We start from the raw sequence: 19593 nt of genomic DNA, 5'->3' as shown, positions 1-19593 counted from the left end.
GGTAAAACCCTGTCTGTACTAAAAATACAAAAAATTAGCCGGGCATGGTGGTGGGCGCCTGTAGTCCCAGCTACTCGGGAGGCTGAGGCAGGAGAATGGCGTGAACCCGGGAGGTGGAGCTTGCAGTGAGCCGAGATAGGCCACTGCAGTCCAGCCTGGGCAAAAGAGCAAGACTCTGTCTCAAAAAAAAAAAAAAAAAAAAAACTGCCTTAAAAATGAGGACTTAAATTTTTACCCCTTTTCGTCTTCAGTTGGTCACCAAATTTAGCGCTTCTAGTAATTTAAGGTGTTGGACCAGTGGTCTAAAGAAGGGCAAACTCTATTTGACAATGACTCTCACATTAGAGTTGAAGAAAGAGATACACTTTTTCAACTCTAGGAAAAGTCCCAAAGGTAGAGAAAACACACGGGGTTCTGGAGCTGAAGGTGGCCCCTCCCGTGTGTGTGTGTGTGTGTGTGTGTGTGCAATTGTCTGCCTGCCTTTAGCCACATCAAACTCTTCACCATGATATCACACATGCCTGAGAGAGAGGCCCTGGTCTCCTCCATATCCTGAGTCAGTTTAGTATATGGGCTGTATTAGTCTGTTCTCATGCTGCTAATAAAGACATACCTAAAACTGGGTAATTTATGAAGGAAAGAGGTTTAATGGACTCACAGTTCCATGTGGCTGGGGAGGCCTCACAATTATGGTGGAAGGCGAAGGAAGAGCAAAGGCACATCTTATGTGGTGGCAGGCAAGAGAGTGTGTGCAGGGGAACTGCCCTTTATAAAACCATCAGATCTCGTGGGACTTATATAATGAGAACAGCATGGAAAAAACCTGACCCCATGATTCAGTTACCTGCCACAACCCATGGGGATTATTACAATTCAAGGTGAGATTTGGGTGGGGACACAGAGTCAAACTGTATCACCGACCAAGAGCTGGGCTCTGGAGTCAGGCTGCATGTGTTCAAAGCTTGGGTCTTCCAATTTCACTTAATAGGTGAGACATCTTGGGTCTGTCTTCTGAGCCTCTGTTTCTCCCATCTATGAGCTGAGGGACAATGCTAATAAGAGCAGGCACACCACAGGATTGTCAGGAGGCCGTGCTTAGCACAATACCTGACCCGTTGGTAAGGACTTAAAGGAAGTCAATCCACTGCTCTCCTCTAACTCATCTCTTCATACAAGAGGCACTTAATTATCAATTTATTAGTTACTGCTAAGCCCAACTCTTAGCAATGTATTCTACTCAGTCAGGTACTGAGTATCTCCTGTTTGTCCAGCTCCTGTTGCCTGGCTCAAAATAATTAGAAGATCTAGATTCCCGTCCACAGGGAGTGTATAATCTACTTGAAAATATAAAACACCATATAGGGTGGCCTGTAGCTGAGGTGACAAAGTCACAGGCCATTTTATCAGTGCCTCATGTATTTTTAGCACCCAACACTCTGGCACATGGTGGAAGCTCATGAAATATTTGTTGTATAGAAGTGAACAGGCCAGGTGTGGTGACCCACGCCTGTAATCTCAGCACTTTGGGAGGCCAAGGCAGGCAGATCACTGGAGGTCAGGAGTTCCAGACCAGCCTGGCCAACATGGTGAAACCATGTCTCCACTGAAAATACAAAAATTAGCCAGGTGTGGTGGTGGGCGCCTGTAATCTCAGCTACTTGGGAGGCTGAGGCAGGAGAATCACTTGAACCTGGGAGGCAGAAGTTCCTGTGAGCCAAGATCATGCCACTGCACTCCAGCCTGGGCTACCAAGCAAGACCCTGTCTCCAAAAAACAAAAAAAAAAAAAAGTGAGCAAAAGATGAGAATGGGAATGTTACATTACTTTGAAACTACATCAGGCACTCCAAAAAACTAAGGAGACAGAGCTGTGGGTGGCAGAATTTTTGACCGAAAATAAACTGTGGAGATAGAAACAAAAAAGGAAAACCAGCAATAAGAGAGCTGGCCTCTGTCTTTTGCTTTTCCGTTCGGTTTTCTATTTCTTCTTGGCTTCCATCCTCCCTTATGCTAGTGGCGGAGGGGGCTGAATGTAGTGACAGGATCTTTAGGAAAGTATAATTTTGAGGTAGTACAGGATGAGATGATTACCAAATAAGGTAATAATTCCCAAATAGGAGGGAAAATGCATGTTGATTAAAGGAGGGAAAAGGCAGAAGACAGAATGAAGAAAGAACACCTTTTCCTGCTACAATAGCAAATGGAGTTTTTGAGTCTTAGGGCATGGTGAAATACAATACCTGTGAAAAACTGTAGATAAATTAAATTTAACAGAATGTGAGCAAAGAACAGTTCATGAATCGGGCACCACTCAGAACCAGAATAGGTTCAGAGAGCTCTGCTTAGTAGTGTGAACCATGAGCTGCTCTAGGCCGAACAGGAAGCAAAGTAGAGAAATGACCTGATTAGCCACAGTTGGGCATTTGTCTTATTGGGCATGATCGGATCAGTTGGCTGCCTAGGATTTGCTGAGACCTGGCTATTTGTTACCAAAAAAAAATACTCCTAAGTTAGTTAGTTTTCAGTTTGTTTACATACTAATAAATTAAGGTGCAGTTTGTTATGTAGAAACTCACAGTACAGAGACAGCCTCTGCTAGTTGAACAATTTCCCCTTTTTGGTCAGCCTCTCAAGATTGACACTGATGCTCAGACATTGACGCAGCCTTAGACACTGATGCTATTGCCTGTCAGTCACTATCATAGTGGACATGTTTGGTTTCAGTATGGAATTCACAAGCCATGACATCAAGTCTGTTGAATGACTTGTTATGTTCCCTTTGTGGTTTTGCTGCTATAAATGGAGTGAGGCCATTTGGGGCAGAATGGGTGGCCGCATTTAAGACTCTTGAGAGAATACAGTGCCCTAGAGATACTACTATGATGACGTATCAGGAGGATAGTACTAACAGACTGAAATATGCTCCTTAACCAATGCACCCATGAACCAAACCAATTACAACCAACTAAACCAAAGAATTAGGCAGAAGAATCTACTTGTTTTAACCAAGTTGCCTGTTTGTTATCTAAGTGCAGCAGAAGGTGTTAGCTATCACACACACACTGCACCCCATTCAGCCAACAGATAGTCAAAGGCAACCTTGTTATCTTAAATAACTTGAACATAGTTATAGAAAAACCTTAGTTCTTTTTACTAGAAATGATTCCATTTTCTTAATCGAAGAGCAAAGACAACATGAAGCACGGGAAATTATCTTGATAAAACAGTCTTTATTTCCTAGACCAATTACTTAAAAGGTAAAGAAAAACCTTTTACCCTATCTTATTAAGAGCAGACTAGAACTCCAAGAAAACCTTGCTGTTTTAACACAGAGGACCACATTCTAGTTTTGTATCAGCGTACTTTTGATATTAATGTTAGAATTTAAAAGCAACTTAATTCCCTTCAAATATTAGCAAATATTAGGAATTTGATCACACATATAATTCCTTTCCCATGATTCTACTTTTACAAGCATCCTACAGTTTTCTTATATCCATTCGGGGTTTTTTTTTTCCCTATACTTTTTTTCTCACTGTGGAACAATGCCATTCTATTTTAGGACAAAAATTATTCTCTTTTTGCCTTTAACAAAACACATTCTCCTACCTTATAGATTTTCTGAAAATTCATCTTACTTATTTTGTATGCTTGCATATAGAGTTGTTTCCCGTATTATTTCTGGTAATTTTAGTTATATACTAAATCATCTTAATTTCCAGTGAAAGGAAGCAAGCAGTTGTGAACCCTATTACACTAGCTGTCTGTAGATTGACAAATTTATGAATCATAATTTCTAGAAGCATGTGCTTCCTCATAGAATAATTTTTTTCATTGTGACACAGAACATGTTTACTAACAGATTCAGCTATCTTTAGTCTCTAATAAAAAGCTATAGGGGAGGGAAAGTTGTATCTCTATCCTTATTAGAATTTTTGGCTAGGCCTGAGAATGAAATTGTTGTTTGTACACATTTTCCTCAGCCTGAACTTCCATCCTTGGTAAGAATATTAAAACCTTCTAGTATAGGGAAGACCCCTTTCCCATGGGAATATTTTTCCTACATCTAATTCATTGTTCTTAACAATTATACTTGGATTGCTCATGACAATGAGACATTAAGTATCCGTCACCTTAAGTTATTTTTCTTGCTAACAAATTTTGTACTACAGAGGTAACATGAGCTTATTTTACTAGTAAACATAGGTAGGAAAAGTTATGAGTCTGTATTATATTTCTAAACTGGAAAGTGTCTGAGACAGGTTTCAATCAATTTATAGGTTTATTTTGCCTAAGTTAAGAACCATGGCCCATTATATGGCCCCAGGAAGTCTTGAGAACATGTGCCCAAAGTGGGTGGTTTACAGCTTGGTTTATACATTTTAAGGAGACAGACATTGCAGGCAAAGACATAAATCAATAGATGAAATGAATACATTGATTCGGCCCAGGAAAGCAGGACATCTCAAAGCAGGGGCTTCCAGGTCAGAGGCAGATTCAAACATTTCCTGATTGGCAGTTGGTTGAAAGAGTTAAGCTCTGCCTGAAGAATTGAATTCAGCATTAAAAAACGCTTGTGTTTAGAGAAGGGGGTTGTGGAAGCCAAGGTTCTTGTCACGTAGATGAAGCCTCCAGGTAGCAGGCGTCAGAGAGAATGGATGGTGAATGTCTTCTTGGACCCTAAAATGTATCAGACTCTAGTAAGGGAAGGAGATTCTCAATGGAACACAAGTTTCCCCCATGAGAGAGAGCTTTGTAGGGCCATTTTGGAATATGTCAAAGAAATATATTTTGGGGTAAAATAATTTCCTTCAGGGCCTGTTATCTGTCATGTGGTACTCTACTGGAGTCACTTTGGTATCTTACTGCTACAAAGACTCTGCTTTGTCAGTCTTAAGATCCCTGTTTTAATGTTAACACTGGTCGGTTGTATGTCAACTCTTAAGGGAGGAGGGTGAAATGAGGCCAGTGGAACCTGTCCCTTCCCATTGTAGCAGCAACGTTGTCTGGGGTAAATACCCAAGATTCGTCATCTCATGCCAAGGAAATCAAGGATGTGGACACATAACAAGTGAGCTTAAGAGAAGAGGTTTAATAGAGAGAAAGAGAAAAACTCTCTTCCTGCAGAGAGAGAGGGTCTTCCAAGTGGGTCGTCTCATCTGTGGCGAAATGCACAGAGTTTTATAGACAAGCTTGGGGAGGCGGTGTCTGATTTACATAGGGCCCAGAAGACTGGTCAGACCAGGTGTGCCATTTACATAGTACACAAAGAGGCTGGCCATCCCACCCTAATCTGTTGTTATGCAGATGGGGTTTCTACCTGGGCAGCGCCATGTTGCCTGCCTTTCTACTGCACATGTGGCGACAAAGAAAAGGGAGGAGGGAACCTCCATGTTGAATATACCTGGCTTCCAAGTATCCCTTTTCTATTGGCATAGCTGCTGGCATTTGCCTATGCAAGCTTGTGTTTGCAGCTTGATTTTTCAGGCTGCTTTTTGTTAAAAGGGAAACCTTACCGAGGATTCTCATACCCTCACTAACTGCCTAAATAATTTCTTTTTAGCTACCTCATCACCATCATGGCCTAAACTAGTTTTTCACATTTCTTCGGGGTTCCCTTGGCCAAGATGGGGGTTCCATGTAGTCGTTTGCGGGGGGGTGCTTAGAATTGTATTTTTTGGTTTACTATCTAATGCTGACCACTCTATTTTCATTAAACTGACAAACTTTAACCAAAGATTATCCTAGAACACATAAACTTGGAAGGTATTTTGGATTCATTTTTTTCCTAAGAGTTTAAGGAGTACTTAATTTATATAAGCGCTTAAGCCAATTAAATAAAGCTCTTTTATAACTTAATTTTGGTAATACCATCTGAAGATAGAAAAAAATCACACATACGTACCTACAGAGAGAAATAAACATAAAGACAGAGCCCTCTGTTGTAGGTTTCATTTTAAAATTTAGGCATGTACTGAAATGGCGTCATTCATCTGCGGTAATACCCCACGTTCTTTGCCTCACACCAAGGAGATCAAGGACGAGGACACACAAGGAGTGAGTTTAAGAGCCAAGGTTGAATAGGCGAGAGAAAGAGAAAAGCTCTCTCTCCTTTGGAGAGAGGGGGGCTCCCAAGTGGGTCATCTGATTCTGTGGTGAAATGCATGGGGTTTTATAGAAGAGCTTGAGGAGGCAGTGTCTGATTTACACAGGGGACAAAAGATTGGTAGGACCAGGTGTGCCACTTGCATAGCAGGTGAAGAAGCTGGCCACCCCACCCTAATCTTTTATTATGCAGATGGGGTCTCTACCTGGCCGGTGCCATGTTGCCTGCTTCATTACTGTACATGTGGTTGACAAAGAAAAGGGAAGATAGGGCGTCCATGTTGAACATGACTCACCCCCAGGTAGCCTCTTCCTATTGGCACAGCTGCCAGCATTCACCCGTGCAAGCTTCCAGCTTGCTTTTCTATGTCTGTAGCTTCATTTTGCAGACTGTTCTTTCTTAGAAAAGAAATGACTTTGGAGCTGCTTTTTATTAAAAGGGAAACTTTGCCGACGACTTTTACCCTCACCAACTGCCTAAATTTCTTTTTAGCTCCTGTATCAGTACCAGATACAAAACCCACAAAATTTACTACTTTACAGAATAGCTGAATTCCAATTATGTTTCTGGCAGATGGAAGAAGTTAAGATTACTTGCTCTGGTAGCAAAGCTTTTTAGTAATATTTGTGGAAAAGACAAGAATTTTCATTTGCCCAAATGTCATTTTTCTTCTGATGAGTCATCTCCCTTAAAATTTCCATGTCAAAGGGCTAGCTGTAAGGTTCTAGAGAAAACAAGAGAGAAAATGGACATCTCAAAGGCATAGAGCATAGACTTCTGGCTTAATTACTATCATTTACCTAAAGAAAGAAAGAAGGGTATAGGTAAAGGCCCATTTAAGAAGATGGTCAGGAAAACCGCCTTCAACAAAGGTAAGACTTTTGAAGTAGATGATTCAAGGCCGTCTCCATTCTTTAGTTACTTAGTCCTCCTCCTATTCCTGGTGCAGAGAGGAAGGCACTCTTACAAATGGAGATCTCCTTCCTTAATAGATGGAATTTTCTATTACAAAGGGGTCTCAAAATAACCAGCTAGAAATAATCCTTATGCCAAAGCGGCATATTTTGGAGACTAACTTGGCTAGATCAGTGGTTTCCCAACCCAGTTTGTTTTTATACTAAGTTATGTAGGAACTCAACCTCAGACTCATGGGCTCCTGTAATTTAGTATGTCTTAGCTTCCCTTCAGCATCTGGTGCAGTCATCTTAATCTTTTCTTGGTCACAGACTCCTCTGAGAGTCTGGTGATGAATCCTCTCCCAGATAAGTACATTAATATACATGCAACATTTGTATTCAGTGCCAAGATGTGCACATAGCCCTCTGAAGCCCACCTGTTACCAGAAAGGGGTCCTGATCCAGACCCCAAGAGAGGGTTCTTGGATCTTCTGCAAGAAAGAATTCAAGGCGAGGCCATGGAGTAAAATGAAAGAAAGTACAAGAATAAAAGAATGGCTTCTCCATAGACAGAGCAGCCCTGGGAGCTGCTGGTTGCCCATTTTTATGGTTACTTCTTTGTAATATGCTAAACAAGGGGTGGATTACTTATGCCTCCCCTTTTTAGACAATATACAGTAACTTCCTGATGTGGCCTTGGCATTTCTAAACTGTCATGGCACTGGTGGGAGTGTAGCAGTGAGGACCACCAGAGGACACTCTCGTCACCACGTTGGTTTTAGCCGCTTGTTTACTGCAACCTGTTTTATCAGCAAAGTCTTTATGACCTTTATCTTGGGCTGACCTCGTATCTCATCCTGTGACTTAGAATGCCTGAATTGTCTGGGAATGCAGCCCAGTAGGTCTCAGCCTTATATTACCCAGCCTCTACACAAAATGGAGTCGCTCTGGTTCATACATGTCTGACCACACCCACAGAGTATCACAAGTGCAAAGATCAGCAATTCCTACTCAGGGATCTAAATTCAGTGCCTCCCTTTCCTGTCCCTGGACAGTGCTGGGTAAGCCTTGTCAAGTCCACAGATCCCCTTCCCAGCATCTTGTCAGGTTCTTCCCTGTTGATCAGTTTTCTTCTGCAGAACTTGGAACATGGAGGGTTAGGCTATAGGCTCTTTCTCACTTAATTCTGCCTCATTTAAATTTATGTGCAGAAGGCAAGGGAGAAGGGTAAATTGCCTACCTCTTACGTATGATTGACTTATTACTTAGCTTCTTGCTCGGTACCACCAGTATAGGAAGTAAATACGATTATTCTGTAAGGTAAGGCTCTACAAGGTTATGATTGGACAGTCATGGAACTAATTAGTGGTTAAGATTCAAACTTGGGTATCTGACCCCGGATCCTATCTTATTTCTACTATACTTCAGGCCTCCCTGATTTTCTTCCTTTGACTAGGGAACCACCCTAACCCTTAAGGTGACTTCTGTAGACATCTAAGCTCATCCATTCCTAATATAACTCTCAAGAGGCCATAGACTTTGAGGTTCTTGCTGATCTTTTCATTGTATTCTCTTGTGCACCAATAATATACTTGAAATGTCAGCCACCATGCCAACATCTCACTTCCCAACTATAAAATCACATTCCCAGGAAAAACAGTAAACTGGAGTTTGGTTCAGGGAAAAAAAAAAAAAAAAAAAACAATTTCAATGATTCTTTCTCCAGATGCCTTCTTTTTCTTTTTGGGTTGTTGCTTCTGTAACTGAAATAGTCTGATATATTTTAAGCTGTTTTCTTTTCTATGTAAAAACATCCACCAATGGGGTTCTGCACTTTCTCAGAAAAAAAACAGTATGTTTTTAGACATTTAGGTCAGATATATTAACACAGAAGTGGAATTAGAATGGGTTAAGGCCCTAGAATGGGCATTTAATCCATCTTGACCAGGTCAATGCTATTTTTAAAGGCCTCCGACCTTTGAACTATTCCCATAGCTAACAATCTTGAAATTCAGAAAATTCTTAGAATTAGCCAAGTGAATTAGCAAAATGGTTGAAATTTTTATTAAATCATTGGCTGTAAGAAGAGGGTTTTGTTGTCGTTGTTGTTGTTACTCTGACTCTTAAAGAGATTGGCCAGGCCTTGATTTCATTACCCTTTTGGGTAATTACTACTATTTGATCAGAATATGTCATATCAAGCAATTTTTCTGCATAATCCCCATGTGAGGTTGGCCTTCCCAGGGTATCTCATCTGGACAGAATTGATCCGCTTTCCCAGGGTATCTCATCTGGACAGAATTGATCCGCTCCTACCATCTGTTGAATACTACCAACATTTATTTTCTTGAGACAGCATCTGGCTCTGTCACTCAGGCCAGAGTGCAGTGCCACGATCATCCCCCCTCAGCCTCCCAAGTAGCTGGGACTACAGGTGCATGCCACTATGCCTAGCTAATTTTTGTATTTTCAGTAGAGATGGGTTTGTACCATGTTGCCCAGGATGGTCTCAAACTCTTGAGATCTGCCTGCCTTGGCTTCCCAAAGTGCCGGGACTACAGGCGTGAGCCACTGCACCCAGCCTCTACTAACAGTTATTATAAAATATAAAGAAAGATTTCTTCTCGTGCAGCTTAAAAGCTTCAGGTCTGATGGACTGGACAGAAGTTGGAACACGGGAGTAGGAATTTACCTTACTCAGAAGGACACCTTGTCCACTGGCCTGGAAACACTAGATTTATAAAGTAGGAAGCAAGGTCATTGATAAGGGCGAATGCGGAAGTGATAGGAAAGCGTTAAAGGCTAAAAGTCACTGTTGTAAAGACTGGGAAAGAGAGCTGACTTGAGGCACGTAAAGGCTGGGCAGAATTGAGGCTGGAGATTCTGAATTTGTAGTGGATGCAGCCAACCTCTCAGAGATAGGAGGAGAGAAGATAGTGGAGCTAGAGTTAGATCTGGGGTTGGCATATTTATTGTGTGTGTTTATTTAAAAGACAAGAAGGCAAGGGGATTGGGGCTATGGACCAGAACGCAGGTGAGGTTATGGATCCTTGATTCATTCACCCATGATACAAATGTCTATTAAGCAGGCATTATATAGGAGACAGTGTGGCTGGATAGGGAAGGAGGCACAAGACAGGAGTAAATAGTTACAATAGTTACTTTTGGAGGGAAAAAGAGGGTGGGAGGAGTTCAAGGAACCAAAGAAGTGAAGGCACGAGCAATCAGAAAGGATAGTAATGGAAGCCAGTGCATAAATAGCTCTGTGTGCCAAGCAGTGTTCTGTATTTTGCACATTAACTCAACTCTCTGGGATAGGACTACTGTTATTCACATCTTATAAGCATGGAATGATTGAGTAACTTGTCTATGGTCTCCTAGCTAGTACATGGCAAAGCTGGGATTCGTACCCAGGCATCAAAGCCAAAGTTTTTCACGCTATACTGCACTGCCTCTAGAAGGTTGTGGTCCAAAGGGGAAATAGTTCCAGCTGATGACGTAGCAGTGGGGATAGCCACAGGAGAAAGTAGCTGAAGCCAAGTGTGGCAGCCAGTGCTGGATGCATTATCCATGTGGTTACTGATGTCATTGCTACAATGACAAGAGGACTGGGGGCTAAAAGTATTGAACGTGTGGACTGGTGATCAGAAAGCCAGCAGTGACCAAATGAAGAGGTATAGATGGTGATACAGTTAGATGGCTTGAGTTCAAAAGCTGAAGCATTCCTCTCTGTGGGTGGAGGTTAGTTTGGAAATACCATTGTTCAGGGAGGAAAATGCTAACCCCTCCTTCCAACCCTAAAGGCTGAGGGACAAGGAAGCTGTGTCTTTGGGAAGGAGCCAGGTTTCAATGAAGCAGGCAGATGGAGAGAATTCCATGTGGGTTGAAGATGTTTGAGGACTTCTTTTCTATACTGCAGAGTTCCAGGGATTTTGGAGGATGCTGGGTTGAAGGCATAAGAATGAACACAGAAAATTGGATAAGGGCCACGGGATGGAAGACCAAAGGGACCAAAATCTTGGGTGATGACTGAGACACAGGGAGACTGCCTCCGAGTTTCCATGGGGTGCCAAATAATGGCTTAATGATGGCAGACACTGGAGAAGTACTCTTGTAAGGGGACCGTAGTGGCCTCCCATCTGAGCCAGGACAATGAACATGTTTTCCACAAGACATCAGCTTTCTCTTAGCCATGCCTGCAAGCTATGAATGAGCTTATTCTGAGTCACACATACTGTCCCTATGGAACAAGGGTTTTTAAACTTTTCTGTGCCATAGAGCTCTTTCATAATCTGAGGAAGCTTATGGGCTCTTTTTCAGAATATTTTTCAATCCCAACATTTTGGGAGGCTGAGATGGGAGGATCAATTGAGCCCAGGAGGTCGAGGCTGCAGTGAGCTATGATCACGCCCCTGCCCTCCAGCTTGGGTGACAGAGTTGAGACCCTGTCTTAGAAAAAAGCAAAAAACACAGTACATTGAGATAGAACGTGACATGATGATATCTGATGTCTTCTGGTGACAACATCTCAGGTACTGCTAGTACTATGGTGGCTTGATAACCGCACACATACTAAAAGGAAATGCTCTACGTAGGAAATGAGTGAAAATAAATAGGTAGAGACCACCAGTTTCCAGTGCAGCCTGTAAGGGGCTGAGAAGTCACAAGCTCCTCTTAGATCAGTCAAACGGGAAAATACAGGGTCACAACTTACCCGAGCAAAAACGCCTGTGGGAACCAGTATCAGGGTAGGAAAGGCGGAACTGTAACTGATGAACTGTGGGATGCTCAGAGTGAATGAGTCTGAGGGTAAAAAAAAAAAAGTCCACAGGGACCCAGCCATTGGCCGGCCCCCAGGCTTAGGCTTTTGTGAGTTTTACCTCTAGAAGCTCTACCAGGTCCTACAAGTAACTGTCAGATACAGGTCCCCTTGTGCTGCCAGGAAGAGGGAAACGGAACCATTTTGACATATGCCTTAGCCTTGTGTTTTTTATTTCTTTAGTTAGTTGAGACAGGATCTCACTAGGTCACCCAGGCTGGAGTGCAGTGGTTACTGACAGGTGTAATCACAACTCACTGTAGCCTCGAACTCCTGGGCTCATGCCATCCTCCTACCTCAGCCTCTTGAGTAGCTGGGACTATAGGTGTGTGCCACCATATCTGGCTAATAGTTTCTAAAATTTTTTTGCACAGATGGGGGCCTCAGCATCTGCCTAAAAGATTCTCCTGCCTTGGCTTCTCCCAAAGCACTGGGATTACAGGCGTAAGCCTCTGTGCTTGGTCTTAGGAGACCTTAGGAGGAACTGTTCAACCAGAATCTAACCTGCTGGAGTGAAATGCCAAAAACCTATACCTAGGCATATCATGTTCAAACTTCAGAAAATCAAAGATAAAATATTGAAAGTGGCCGGGCACAGTGGCTCAGTACCCTGTAATCCCAGCACTTTGGGAGGCTGAAGTGGGAGGATCACCCAAGCCCAGGGAGGTCAAGGCTGCAGTGAGCCATGATCACACCCACTGCACTCCAGCCTGGGCAACAGAGTGAGATCCTGTCTCAAAAAGAGAAAAAAAATTCTTGAAAGAAAACAGCTTACATATACAGGCAAAAATATAAGAAGTGTATCCAACTTCTCAGACACCATGCAAGCAAGAATAGAGGAGAAAAAAATATTTAAAGTGCTGAGAGAAAAAAACAACCCTACAATTCTGTACACTGTGAAATTATCCTTCAAAAGTGATGGAGAAATAAACAAAAACTGAGATTACCGTCGGACCGTAAACCTGCATTGCAAGAAATGTTTAAAGAAGTTGTTCAGAGAGGGGAAAATTGATATAGGTCAGAAACTTGGATCTACATACAAAAATGGGCATCTGAGAATGAGTAAGTCAAGATACAATGTCTGTCATCTTCATTGATCTGACAGATAAGTTTGTTCAAAAGAATAGCAACAATGTATTCACTTTTGTAAAAGTAGATGCTTAGAAAGTGAATCACAGCAATGATATAAGGGACAGCAGGGGAATTAGGAACGTCTTGTTATTATAAGGTACTTGTACCACCTGTGAAGCAGTGTAGTGTTACTTGAAAGTGTACTTGGGTTGGCCGGGCGCACTGGCTCACGCCTGCAGTCCCAGATACTCTAGAGGTTGAGGCAGGAGAATGGCGTGAACCTGCGAGGCGGAGCTTGCAGTGAGCCGAGATCACGCCACTGCACTCCAGCCTCGGCAACAGAGCAAGACTCCGTCTCAAAAAAAAAAAAAAATGTACTTGGATTGGTTGTATGTGTATACTGTAAACTCTAGGACAACCAATAAAAAAGAGTTGAAGTTATAATTGATATGCTAAGAAAGAGAAAATGAAATAATATAAAATGCTCAATTAAAACCACAGGAGGAAGTAAAAAATAGGAATAGAGAACCAGGGTAATGAATAGAAAACAGTAACCGATATGAAATACTAATACAACTATACCAATAGTCACTTTGAAATTTCAGTCGTCTAAATGTACCAATTAAAAGATAGATTGCCATAATGGATCAAAAAACAAGGCCTGGCATAGTGGTTCATGCCTGTAGTCCCAGCTACTTGGGAGGCTGAGACAGGAGAATCACTTGGACCCAGGAGATGGAGGTTGCAGTGAGCTGAAATTGTGCCACTGCACTCCAGCCTGGGTGACAGAGCAAAATTCTGTCTCAAACAAACAAGACCCAAATATCTGTTGTCTATAAAAAGCTCACTTTAATATAAAGACAAAGGCAGGCATGGTGGCTCACACCTATAATCCCAACACTTTGGAAGGCTGATGTGGGAGGATTGCTTGAGACCAGCAAGGGCAACATAGCAAGACCCTATCTCTTAAAAAAAAAAAGCCAGGTTTGGTAGTGCACATCCGTAGTCCCAGCTACTCAGGAGGACTGCTTGAGCCTAGGAGTTTGTTACGTAATGGTACAGTGAGTCATGATTGCACCAATGGACTCCAGTGTGGGTAACATAATAAGATAAGACTGGGCATGGTGGTTCATGCCTGTAATCCAAACACTGTGGGAGGCCGAGGTAGGAAGATTGAGCCTAGGAGTTTGATACCAGCCTGGGCAACAGAGCAAGGCCCTGTCTCAAATAGATAAAGGGACGCAGAAAGCCATACCATGTCAACACTAATCAAAAGCAAACAGGAGTAGCTATATTAATTTTAGAGCAGACTTCAGAGCAAGAAAAGGTATCAGATATAAAGAGGGCCATTATGTAATAATGGGGTTACTACTCCAAGAAGGCATAATGATTCTTAATGTTATGTGCCTAGCAACAGATCATCAAAATATGAGGCAAAAACTGATAGAACTGCAAGGAAAAATAGATGAGTTTACTATCATAGTTGGAGACATCAAAACCCCTCTATCAGTAATTCACAGATCCAGTAGACAGAAAATCAGTAAGACATACTTGAACCCAAAAGCACCATCAGTCAACTGGATGTAATTGCCACTTACATACTCCTTCATCCACCAACAGCAGGCCACATATTCTTCTCAAGCTCACATGTAACATTTACCAAGATAGATCACATTCTGGGTCATAAAACATACCTTAAAAAATCAAAAAGAATAGAGATCATATAATATCTGCTCTCAGACAACAATGGAAAGACGACAATGGAATTAAACTAGAAATCAATAACAGATATATCTGAAAAGTCCCAGATACTTGGAGACTGTACAAGACATTTCCAAGTAACACACAGGTCAAGGAAGAAATGAAGAAAAATTTCGAAATATTTTCAGTTAAAGGAAAATGAAGATATAACTTACCAATTTGTGGGATGTAGTGAAAATAAAGCTTAACAGAAAATTTTATAGCATGAAATGCATATATTAGGAAAGAAGAAAGATCTAATATCAGTGGCCTGAACTTCCACTTTTGGAAACTACAACAAAAAGAGCAAATTAAATTTAAAGTAAGCAAAAGAAAAGTAATAATAAAAATTAGAGAAGAAATCAATGAAAGTGAAAACAGAAAATAATCAAAAGAGCTGATTCTTTGAAAAGATAAATAAAATCAATAAACCTCTATCCAGGTTAATTATAGGAAAAAAGACATGTTATTTACTATCAAATATGAAAGAGGGGCCATCACTACAGATCCCATGGACATTTAAAGGATAATAAAAGAATATTATGGCCGGGCACAGTGGCTCACACCTGTAATCCCAGGACTTTGGGAGGCCGAGTCGGGCGGATCACTTGAGGCTGGGACTGTGAGACCAGCCTGGCTAACATGATGAAACCCCATCTCTACTAAAAACACAAAATATTATCCTGGCGTGGTTGTGCATGTCTGTAAGCCAGCTGCTTTGGTGGCTGAGGCACAAGACTCTCTTGAACCCAGAAGGCAGAGGGTGCAGTGAGCCAAAATCATGCCACTGCACTGGGTCGCTCTGGGCAACAGAGCAAGACTCTGTCTCAAAAAAAAAAAAAATAAAGGGAATATTATCAACAACTCTATGCCCACCAATCTGATAACCTCAACAAAATGGACCAATTCTTTAAAAGGCACAATTTGTTAAAATTCATGTAAAAAGAAAGAGAATCTGAATAGACCTATAATCTATTAAATAAATTGAATCAGTAATTAAAACCTTCCAGACTCAAAGCACCAAGCCCAGATGGATTCACTGGTAAATGCTACTGAACACGTAAGAAAGAAATTGTACCAGCTCCCTACAATTCCTAGAAGGTAGAAGTAGAGGGAATCTCTCCTAACTCATTCTACAAGCCAGCACTCCCCTACTACCTAAACCAGACAAAGACATTACAAGAAAACAATAGACCCATATCTCATGAACCAAGATGAAAAAAAATCAACATGATGCTGTTTGCAAATCAAATCCAACAGTATATAAAAAGAATGATGCCTCATGGCCAAGGGATATTTAAACTGGGTATGCAAAGCTGGTTCAACATCCAAAAATCAATTAATGCAATTCATCATGACAAGCTAGAGAAGAAAAATCACATGATCATATCAATAGATGGAGAAAAAGCATTTAGCAAAATCTAAAACCTGTTAATGAGAAAACTATCAGCAAACTCGGAGTAGAGGGGAACTGTCTCAACTTCATAAAGAACATCTACAAAAAAACTAAAGCTAACATTATAATTAATAGTGAGAAGCCCAAAGCTTTCCCGCTAAGATCAGGAACAAGGCAAGGATGTCCTCTGTCAGAACTGCTTTTCAACATCATATTGGAAGTTCTATTGTAGCTAATACAAGACAAGAAAAAAAAATCAAAGGTATACAGATTGAGGAGGACGACATAAAACATTGTAGATAACATGGTTGGTTATGTAGAAAATTCCCCCAAATAGCAAAAGACTCCTGGCACTAATAAGCAATTGTAGCAAGATTACATGCATACACAGGTAACAGACAAAAGTCAATTGCTTTCCTATGGATGGTCTCCAACTTATGGTGTGAAACAATACACATTCAGTAGAAACCATACTCCAATATTCAATAAATTATGTGAGATAGTCTATACTTTTTAATAAAATAGGCTTTGTGTTAGATTATTTTGTCCAACTGTAGACCAGTGTAAGTGTTCTGAACACATTTAAGGTAAGCTATGATGTTCAATATGTTAGATGTATTAAATGCATTTTTTACTTACGTCCTGATAAACCCATCATAGGTCAAGAAACATTACTTACAAGGAACAATTTGAATTTGAAATTAAAAACACATTATCATTTATACTAGGCACCTCCCCAGAATGAAATATTTAAGAATAATCTAACAATATTTACAAGATCTACATGAGGAAAACTACAAAACTCTGAAGAAAGATATTAAAGAACTAAACAAATGGAGATTTGTTTATGGATAGGAAGACTCAATAGTGTCAGGACATCCATAGGAGGGGAGGTTGCACATATGTGGGAACAGGAGGTACAAGAGAAATCTACATTTTCCATTCAGCTTTGCTGTGAACATAAAACTGTTTTTTATATATAAAAAATGTAATATTTTCCCACCCAAATACACAAATCCTCTGAGTTTTACTTACAGGTCCTTTGGGTAGTGGAGACCCCAGATTCAGAGCCCCTGCATGGAAGAAACACACAGGACCTAATTCTTGAAATGTGGACAGTTTAGGATCTCTGGCTATCCTGGCTGTATGTACCACAGTTCTGTTATAGAAAACAGTAATGAGTCTACATATTTTAAGCAGAAAATATTAGAGAGGTTTGGTCAGACAAACTTGTCAGAAGGGCAACAGGAAGAAAACTTTAGGTGACCTGCAGGAATGACTCTCAGAACACCACTGATTTAGCCCTTCAGGGTAGCCACGGCCTCTGCCAAAAGCAGCTATAGAAAAACCAAATGCTTCTACAACAGAGGAGGAATAGCTGGTGCAGCAGAAACCTGGCTTCCACTTGCACCTTTCAGATCTTCAGCATCTGATGGATGGACTCTAAATTCATTCAGAAGGGTCAATACAAGGAAGTTTGGGAAACGTAGTTTTTAGCTTTCCAGGCTCTGTTGTAGAGGAAGTAACCCCAGAAGAAGGTTGAATCCCATTCCACCCCATCTGCTGTACATTGTAAATAGTTAATTAGAAATTAAAACAGTGTATTGCTGCATGTTGAGTGGACACCATTCCTAAAGTCTTATGAATACGGCAGACTTGTCAGAGCTTTAATTTTTTTTTTTTTTTTTTTTTTTTTTGACAGAGTCTTGCTCTGTGGCCCAGGCTGGAGTGCAGTGGCATGATCTCAGCTCGCTGTAACCTCCGCCTCCTGGGTTCAAGTGATTGTCCTGCTTTAGCCTCCCAGGTAGCTGGGATTACAGCCGCAGGCCACCATGTCCAGCTAATTTTTGTATTTTTAGTAGACACGGGGTTTCGCCATGTTGGCCAGGCTGGTCTGGAAGTCCTGACCTCAGGTGATCCTCCCGTCTCGGCCTCCCAAAGTGCTGGGATTACAGGTGTGAGCCACTACACCCGGCCAAGTAAATTTGCGACCATCACTGTGAAAAGTGAAGTTTGGACCAGAGCCTGGGACAGACATCTCCAAAGCCCCTCCTGTGCTCTATGCTCCAGGTACCCTAGAATGGGGCTTCTTGACCTCGGCACTGTTATGTTTGGGAGTGGGTGATTCTTTGTTGTGGGAGACTATCCAATCCATTGTGGGATGGTTAGTAGCATCTTTGGTCTCTGCCCACTGACCCAGGAGCATAGTCCCCCAACTCATCACAATGAAAGGTATTTCCGAACACTGCCAACTGTCCCCAGGGCAATGACATTGCCACCGGTTGAGAATCAGTGCTCTAGAATGTGGTATCAGCTGTTAACCCAATGGAAGCAGCCACTATTTGCTAGCACAGTTGTCAATTGCACAAAGAAGACTATTGTGCCCCATGTTTCCAAATGACATCCCGTGTTCTTAAGTCATGTAAACCTCTTAGTAATAACATGGAGAAACATTTGTAAATCAAGGGGAACTCTTATTCCAAGCATGGGAAAAGAATGTTTTCCATTGTTCAGAATGAGTCAACAGAAATTAGGTGACACTTTCCCTCAAAATAATATCTGATTATATTCATCACTCTATTAAATGTCTGCCAAATGCTTTTGTGACACGTTTTTGAGGGCACAATGCAAAACCAAATAGAAAAGAAATGTAAAAATATTACATCATTTCCTAGAGAAACTGTACAACGTATTGTCCTGGACAGCTTTTGAAAAAGATTAGAAACCTATTTGATGAAAATAATTTGGCTGAAATTGTGCCTAGACCATGAGCTGGAGGACATTGGGACCTTCTGCTTCAACTCTGCAATTATGGAAGACAGAGGAAATCCCCAACTAGCATTTCCCATTATCATATATAGATGCCTGAACTGCAATTTTATTTTAAAATACAACTATTAATCTACTCATAAAAAAATTTCAATGGCCAGATCAAAAACAGAAATTTTTTTCTAGTTCTAGCTCTTCTCTGATTGTGCCTTCTGTTATATTAATAGTACTTTACCCTCTCCCACTTCAATTTCTTAGCTTGCTTTGGTACAGCATTTTACCATTTTCAAACACCTCTCATTTACATGTGTTTGATCATCCCCCCGCCCCATTGCATTAAACTACCATCATAGCTCCCTTTTAAAACAGTCTCAAGAGGTAATGACCAGCTTAGAATCAAATGGTGTTAAATTGTCTTCAATGGGCTCGGCTTTGGGGCCTGTTGGACCTGCTGGACCCATGTGGAAGGGCCTGGGGAGGCAGGGAAGGTGAGGGGGTCACTGGAGAGGCCAGTGGCATGTGGTAGAGAGTGAGAAAGATAATCTGTGGCAGAGGGGGGCAGAGTGAGCTCCATTCCCTGTGGACTCTAACCCATATCTGGGTTTGCAGGGTGTTGTCTATCAAAAGGAGGAATTGCCCTTCACAGGGAGAGTGTTAGAGCCACTGAGGCAGAGGTAGCCATCTCGCTAAGTGCTCACAAGCTGCTTCTGTGAAAGGCCCTCATCAGAGTCCCTGCAGACCCTGAGAGAATGCAGCCCTGGCACCTTGTTTTGGTGACTTAAAGACAAGGCAGAGGT

General features: G+C 41.5%; 1 protein-coding gene across 2 annotated transcripts in view; it reads left to right on the top strand.

Annotated features, from left to right (window-relative positions):
* CCDC3 (coiled-coil domain containing 3) overlaps nt 1-19593 on the top strand; it is a 203365-nt gene that overhangs the window by 151057 nt on the left and 32715 nt on the right. The window lies entirely within an intron of this gene.

This window comes from Homo sapiens, chromosome 10 (assembly GCF_000001405.40).
Source record: "Homo sapiens chromosome 10, GRCh38.p14 Primary Assembly".
Classification (NCBI taxonomy): Eukaryota; Metazoa; Chordata; class Mammalia; order Primates; family Hominidae; genus Homo; species Homo sapiens.
This window is presented reverse-complemented; position numbering and strand designations above follow the sequence as displayed.